This window comes from Homo sapiens, chromosome 18 (genome assembly GCF_000001405.40).
Source record: "Homo sapiens chromosome 18, GRCh38.p14 Primary Assembly".
Lineage (NCBI taxonomy): Eukaryota > Metazoa > Chordata > Mammalia > Primates > Hominidae > Homo > Homo sapiens.
In genome coordinates this window covers 51,166,324-51,174,122 of record NC_000018.10, presented here as the reverse complement: position 1 = coordinate 51,174,122, position 7,799 = coordinate 51,166,324, and the positions used below count along the sequence as shown (strand labels likewise).

General features: G+C 41.5%; 1 annotated feature.

Annotated features, from left to right (window-relative positions):
• Positions 5,387–5,967: an enhancer, noted in NCBI's record as "OCT4-NANOG-H3K27ac hESC enhancer chr18:48694526-48695106 (GRCh37/hg19 assembly coordinates)". NCBI's record gives its function as "activates a minimal SCP1, AML or CMV promoter by ChIP-STARR-seq in primed H9 embryonic stem cells {active_cell/tissue: H9 hESC(primed)}" and the evidence as "EXISTENCE:reporter gene assay evidence [ECO:0000049][PMID:30033119]".

Sequence of the window (7,799 nt, the reverse complement as noted above, 5' to 3'; positions counted from 1 at the left end):
ATACAAAAGCACCAGTTTACCTTTCAGTAAAAACTACCTTCTGAAAAATTGACAAAAATATTTCTCCATTTATGAAATTGATTTGATACAGATTGGAATAAATCATTGACTTTTTTTTTTGAAAGCGAGAATAAAGACATTTCTAAGAAAGATCATTTTAAAGAAACTGAAATTCTTCTTTTTTTTTTTTTTTCTTGAGATGGAGTCTCGTTCTGTCACCTGGCCTGAAGTGCAGTAGCTCGATCTCGGCTTACTGCAGCCTCTGCCCCTCAGGTTCAAATCAGCCTCCCGAGTAGCTGGGATTACAAGCACACGCCACCACACCCAACTAACAATTTTTGTATTTTTAGTAGAGACGGGGTTTCACCATGTTGACCAGGCTGGTCTCGAATTCCTGACCTTAAGTAATCCGCCCACCTTGGCCTCCCAAAGTGCTGGGATTAATAGGCGTGAGCCACTGTGCCCTGGCTCTATTTATTCTTAATACTTAGAGGTATCACATATCCATACCAAGGCTTCATTGTGGGTTTTGGACAAATTCTTAGGCTGTGGTAGCCTTGCAAACATAGATTCAATGATGGGCAAGATCATCGTTCTAGAATTGTTGGGCAGAATTACTTTGTCAACTTTAGGATTAGCCTCCGGAAGTATTAGTAGTCTAATTATTTGGATATGTTACAGTATTTGTACAATTCCTGTTTAGATTGGATGACTTGTGAATTAACTTTTACCTAATGCTTGGTCAAAATCTTTCAGGGGGCCTTGAAAATAATCTCTATTTTAGAAGCTTTCCTTGTCCCAGAGTAAGCCAAAACTTGTATGGAACCAATGTTAGCAAAACTGATAAGCACTTAACTTTGGTTCTAAGTCTGGATCTGCCTTTCCCTGTGTGCCTGTGTTGTTTTTCTTGTTTACTTAAGTACTGGGGAAGAGAGACCTCAGGAAATCTGTGGGCCTATGTTACACGAAGTAGCCATACCACACTGGATAATCTGCAATGTGAATAACCAAGAATTAGGCAAACCTATTGTGAGACCTTTACCTTATTCCATTTTCACAACCTGGAAAGGTGGATGCTAAACTGAAAACAGGTTTGGCTAGCTGCTCAGTTATTGTAGTGTTCTATAATTCTTCCTGTAAAAGACTTTATATCAAAGGAATCCCTTTGCAAAGTAGACTTAGCAAGAATGGAGGCTAGAATAATAAAAAACAGGTATAAAATAGGGGTAGTAAACGTGTTTTTACAGATTATTCAGTGAATCTGTTAGCCCAAAACCAGACACTCGTTCTCAGTCTGCTACCTGCCCCTTCTATCCCTTAAATTTCTACTTTTCTCATTCTAAAACTTTTTATAAATAATGGAGATTGGGGATGTTTGTTTATAATACACTGTGAACATCTTTTCCTTGTCAGTATACTTCTACAACGTAATTTAATGGTAGCAGTAATATTCTCTTTTCTGGCTATCTCGTAACTTAACCATTTGCTCTTAGTGACTAATCGAAGTAACTATGGGCAGTGGAGCCCTGATGAAATACAGGGAAGGACATTGAGATGCCTCAGGAGGAGATTCAATTTAGTAAAGATTTAAAATAGCTGTTCTCTTTAAAGTGGCATACCTTCCCCCTCGGGTATATCAGAGTAACTCTTCCTATTAAGTTTCTTCAGCTGATTGTATGGAATAATTGAAAATTGTGAAAGAAATGTTCCCGCCATTGAGATTTTCTACTGCCTCCATATTCATTTATCTGCATTTTAAAGGATAGCATTTGTACACCAGTCAGGAAAACTTCATAAGGAGGATAAGTGATTAGATATTTTAAATAGTAAATGGAGTTCACTGGTCAGAGATTGGAATTGGGAGGGAAAATGGCTGAAGAGAAACCACACATTTCTAAGCCCTTGGGGTGAGTTTAGATCCTCATTAGTCTCATGGAAAATGGGGATATTTGTAACTTGATTACTAAATGAGCTGTAAAAATAGACTTCCTGCTGCCTTTGAATGTGTTTTAAATGATAAATCTTCAATCTCTAAAAGCATGTGCGTAAGTACTTTCCTTTTGTAATGTGGAAGTTTTAAGAAGGAACTACAGTATTCAGCTGAGTTTAAAACAAAAACTGAAAAGAACTGGCTTAGTAAGAAGAGGCTTGCTAGTTTAAGAAGAGGCAGTAAATGAGAATCAAGATTATATAAATCTGCTCAATTCCTACCAGTAACATTTCAGTTTACCCAAAGCTGCTAGCAGTGTTATGCATAATTTACTGCATATATTAATATGGAGCATGAGGATGGGACAAATCAGTCACACCATCTTCAGGGCTGCACAAAACTTAAGGATACAAACATGACCTGTACCATAAAGTAAGTCAGATGGTGGTTCTTCTAAATTAGAATCTTCTTGGATAAGTCAGCAATAGTTTGCCTGTATTCAAAATGGAAAATCTGAGGGTTTCTGATTTAATCCTGAAACTGAGTGTAATTACTTAAAATTTGGAAATAAAATGTAGATATTCCCCTATATTAAAGCATTAAGGCTTTTATATCTGTTTCATGACATTTTCAAGATCAGAAACACTGAGTGGAACTTTTGACATGATCTGTTTCTGCAATTTCAGGGAAATTACCAAAGTATCACAAGGGACATGAATGGGTAGTGGTTTCAAGTCTACTTGAGTCAGATGTGAAGTGCTAGGCATTATACCTTAACGATAAAACTAGGGCTAGGTGCAGTGGCTGATTGATGCCTATAATCCCAGCACTTCGGAAGGCCGAGGCTGGAGGATCACTTCAGCCCAGGAGTTCAAGAGCAGCCTGGGTAACAGGGAGACCCTGTCTCTAGAAAGCTAAAATTTCAAAAAGGATTGAGGGAATACTTGATAATTTGTGGATTTGGCTAATGCCCAACATGTGTAAATTAGCCAGGTTTATTAGGTGACAGGAGAATGTGATCATAGAGTTAATAAATAGCAATACCTATTGAAAAATTATTAGTATTGTTGAAGTAAAATTTTCTGAAAGACCATTTAAAACAACAGAGAAATACTGGACAGATAGACTGTGTTGCCCAGGCTGGCCTCAAGCGATCCTCCAGCTTCGGCCTCCCAGAGTGCTAGGATTACAAACATGAGCCACTGTGCCCAGCCTACTTAGGATGTTTTTTAAAAAATCCTGGAAGCTCTAGTTATCTAGAGGCTAGGCAGATCTTTCTAAGTTTGTGTCATCAGTGGATGGGTGAAGGTTCTCAGAATTCATATTCTGAGAGCTGCCATCTCATTTGAATTTGAGAAAGCAAACTCCAAAATCTGCTTCTCTTGGACTGTTCCCAGTGGCTTTTCTTGAACCACACATAATCCAATGAAAAGATCTTATTCTCATGACTAGAAACTTGTGAGAACTCTTGAGTCAGTCGTCTTTTATGTTTTCCTAAGCAGGTGATTCCAAGTGCTTTTTCAAAAATGCATCCTTATGTTGAAGATTGTATTTGTGGTCAAGGATTTCAGAAATGGTCCCTTTTCTTTGCTAGTAGGCAAGCTTTTTTGATGTTCCTATTACTTTAGATGGTGCCCTTATCTTTTTAACTTTCCCCAGGAATAGCATCCTTCTGCCATCCCTTCCACCGTCACCACTACTTAGACACCCTTAGGTGCCACCCCTTCCCGAGAAAAGATAGAATCAGGACTCCACACCTCTCTCCCCCTGGGGTCTTAAAATCCAAGTAGACCAATGAAGGGAATTTAGTGTGTCACCTTTTAGAGTACATCTGATTTTTCAGTCATTTCCTATGCTTTCCAAATCCTGGTCATTACACCTAGAAACTGCTCCTGGGCTAGCCCTACAAAGGTGTCAAGGCATGGGAGTTGTAGAATTTCACTGTAGTCTCCAACTTGGGCTTCCATTTCAAGTTCCCTTATTTTCTGGCTTTGTCAGAGGGTACTTAATCCCATATTTTGCAGATTAATATTTTGCATCTCATTTTCCTTATCTGTAAAATGGAAATAATTGCCTCTGAGAACTGCCTGAAACCTAAGTATGAAACTAAGGCATAGAAATGCTTGCTGTGAAGTACATAATTTACTTTCATAGGTAGCATCCTCTTGTTCTGATTCTTTTAAAAATCCAGCATGACCCTGAAAATACTGTTGAAGTGCTCTGGAAGAGCAGTGTAAAGTAAAAGTGAAAAGCCTTTGGGGTTTGAAGCACTACCTTTAGTTGTGTGGCCCAGTTAGTACAAAGTGAACTCAGGTGCATAGTTTCACATAATCTTTACCATAGCCCTAGAGGTGGAAGTATTATCTCCATTTTTCAGAGAATAAAGCTGAGGCTTAAGAGTAAAAATTAATAAAGAGTAAAAAATAAGTAACAGGCTTAAGGTAAAAATTCCCAAGTCTAAAGGCATTTTCAGAAGATTCCATGGAAAATGCCTCAGTTGCTTGCAAATGTGAGCATTTTTTATTTAACTGGGCATGCCAATCAAAATATTTCAGTGGCCCTTTTTAATGATAGGATTAATTCATATCCTCAGACTGTCATGATCATGAAGAGCTTGAGCTAGTTAAGGCACAAATAATTGTTTCAGAATCGATTTGTTGATCCAGTGAGCACTTGCCTTGCCAAGCAAATGAAATGTCAAAATCAGTCAAAGCTTTGGTGGAGTCAGAATTTTTACTTTTAGTTTCATCTTTGATGCCATAGCATGAGCAGATAGTGGCCCAGCCAGATAACTTTGTTGACTTTTTGAAGGATTGGTCTTTTTCTAGAATAATGCAAATCCATTGACTTAAGTGTTTGTAGTTCTGAGTATGTAGTTTGCCTTGTCCTAGAGAGAAAAATCAAGAATGGGGGATGGACCTCATATTTTATTACTATGTGATGCTTTTTTTTTTTCTTCCTGGACCACATTTGTTTTTTTGTTTTTGCTTTTGCTTTTTTTTGAGACAAAGTCTCACTTGCTCTGTCACCCAGGCTAGAGTGCAGTGGTGTGATCTCGGCTCATGGCAACCTCTGCTTCCTGGATTCAAGTGATTCCCCTGCCTCAGCCTCCCGATTAGCTGGGATTACAGGCGGCCGCCACCACCCCTGGCTAATTTTTGTATTTTTATTAGAGAGAGACGGGGTTTCACTATGTTGGCCAGGCTGGTCTCAAACTCCTGACTTCAAGTGACCTGGACCACATTTCAACCCCTAGCTTCTTTTCTGTTCTGGCCCATTTTCTATTGCTTTTTCACATCTTTCCAAAAGGCTATTTAAATCAGTCCACTGACCTATGAGTCTTCATTCTGATCCCAGTGTCTCTAACATACCCTTGACTTATAGCTGCTAAAAGTGTACCAATTGAGAAGAGGGTTGGTTCTGCTTCCGGGGACGGCTGCAGGAGTTTAAAGTTGCTGCCAGATCCGACACTTGTAAGCCTGTTTCCTACCCACCTCCCCTTGTATGGGTGGGCTAACCTCAACTTCTCCCTTTAGCTCAGGGGTACTCAACCTTAGTACTATTGACATTTTGGGGTGAATAATTTGTTGGGGGGTAGGAGGCTGTCCTGTGCACTATGGGGTGTTTACCAGCATCCCTGGCCTCCACCCACTAGATGTCAGTAGTACACACACACACACACACACACACACACACACACAGTTGTGACCATCACAAATGCCTTCTGACATTGAAAGCCAAACCCTCATTAGCCAGTCCAAGGCTTAAGCAAGTTCTAGGTTGAGTACTTGAGTTAAGCATGCTCCTAAATGTTTCATATACAATGACACTTAATCCTTAAACTCTATGAGGGAAGTAGTACCCCCTCCTACAGATGAGAGCCCCATCTCAGAGATGAATGAACTTGCCCAGGGTTACACAATGAGACAAAGAATGGCATTCGGCCATTCTGATGTGCATGTTCTTCACCCCTGCTGGGTGCTGCTTCCTCACATTCCAATTGAAATGCCACAGTCGGGGTTCCTAAGCCCGAGGACCCCTTTACAAAGCTGTCTCTTGCACTTCCCAGGTTTTCTCTAGAGATCTTGCTGCCAGGCAGCCAGACCACTGTGTCCTGAGGGCCTGCTTTACAGTCACCCAGGCCCGGGCCTGCTGCACTTCCCACCTCAGACAGTGCCTATTACCAGCAGCCCCATCAAGTTGCCTCAGAATCTATTTGGTGAAAGATAGGTTGTGCATGGAACAAACAAGAATTAAGCTGCCTGAATCCATTTTCTTAGGCTTCAAGTAAGATTTTATTTGAAAACTTAGGATGCCTGCACTTTTCTTGGAAGTCTCATTTTTCTGTGGTTTTCCTATTTGACCCTTGTTCCAGGAAGGAACCAGAGGACTTCAGAACCATCACCTTCAGGCCTTAGAAAGGGTTGTGGGGATGCTGTCTCACGGGGCTTTGGAGACTCCTCTTGGCTAAGTCCTGAAAGGGCTTAGAGGGACATCCTTAGTTTACTCTTCCATTAACAACATAGAAAGACACCTAAGTATGAGTCCTTGGTCTTCTTTCCCAGATCTGGATCCACTTTCTAAGGGTGTTCTAAGGGCGCGCTAAGACCACTTGGAGCTAAACCCAGTGGACCTGTGTAGGGCTTTGATGTCACACTGGTTTGATCCAGCAAGCTCCACAATGGATTTGTCACTGTATCACTCAGATCTTGAAGAAGTCGCTTTATCTCATCTACAAAGGGACCAGAAACCAGTGCTGAGGGAGTGTGCTCCAGACCTGTCCACCTCCTACCTGGGTTTCAAGGGCAAACACAGCCTTGAGACGGTGCTGCTTAATCTCACCTGAACCTTAGAGTCACCTGGGAGCCTTTTAAAGGTGCACAAGAAGATGTTTATTACATGTATCACATAGCTCCTGGAGGTATTGCTTTAGTTTGAGGCAGGTAAGCACTTTAAGAACACAGCATTCTCTCACAGTCTACGAAGCTGTGAAGATGTGTCAGGAGAGGAAATTGTCCAGCTTCGCAATGGACCATTTTCCTTGGGCTTTTGGATACTGCTTTTTCATTTAAATCAGTGCCTGGGTGTGGGCTTAGATTTTTCAGGGGCTTCATAGGCTACATAGTTGCAGTTGCCTTTAGAGACATAAAGAGGAACAAAAAGCTCTGTGCTTGAATAACAGTCTGTTTTGACCAGGAAAAAAGGCACAGATGGAGGAAAACCCTGAAGGTACAGCAGGGATCCCAAGGCCCAAGGCAGGGAGAGAATCTTCTCCGCCTCCTTGAGTCCTCAGACCTGCAGGCTTCTGGTGCTCCCACTTAGATGCCTCGCTGTCTTTTTATTTCATTCCAGAAAGAATTCCATATATTATATTTGACCCTTCCGCCAATCCTATGAAGTCGGACAGCTACCTGATTTTACAGATGAGGGGAAGGGGGCTGAGCAGGGCTGCCAGAACTGGGAACCAGGAGGCCATGATGCCAGAGTAACAACTGGGGAGGCTGAGCCCACACGTGCCCATTTGGTTTGAACAACCTCCAGGTGCCAACCTGGAACCCACCTCTTCTCAGAATGCTTTCAGCATTTAAAGCTCTCTAAATTGGCTGGGTGCAGTGGCTCATGCCTATAATCCCAGCACTTTGGGAGGCCGAGGTGGGTAGATCACTTCAGGCCAGGAGTTCGAGACCAGCCTGGCCAACATGGTGAAACCCATCACTACTAAAAAATACAAAAAAATACAAAAAAAAAAAAAAAAAAAAAAAACAATTAGCCAGGTGTGGTGGTGCATGCCTGTAGTCCCAGCTACTAGGGAGGCTGAGGCATAAAAATCGCCTGAACCCAGAAGGCAGAGTTTGCAGTGAGTAAGATA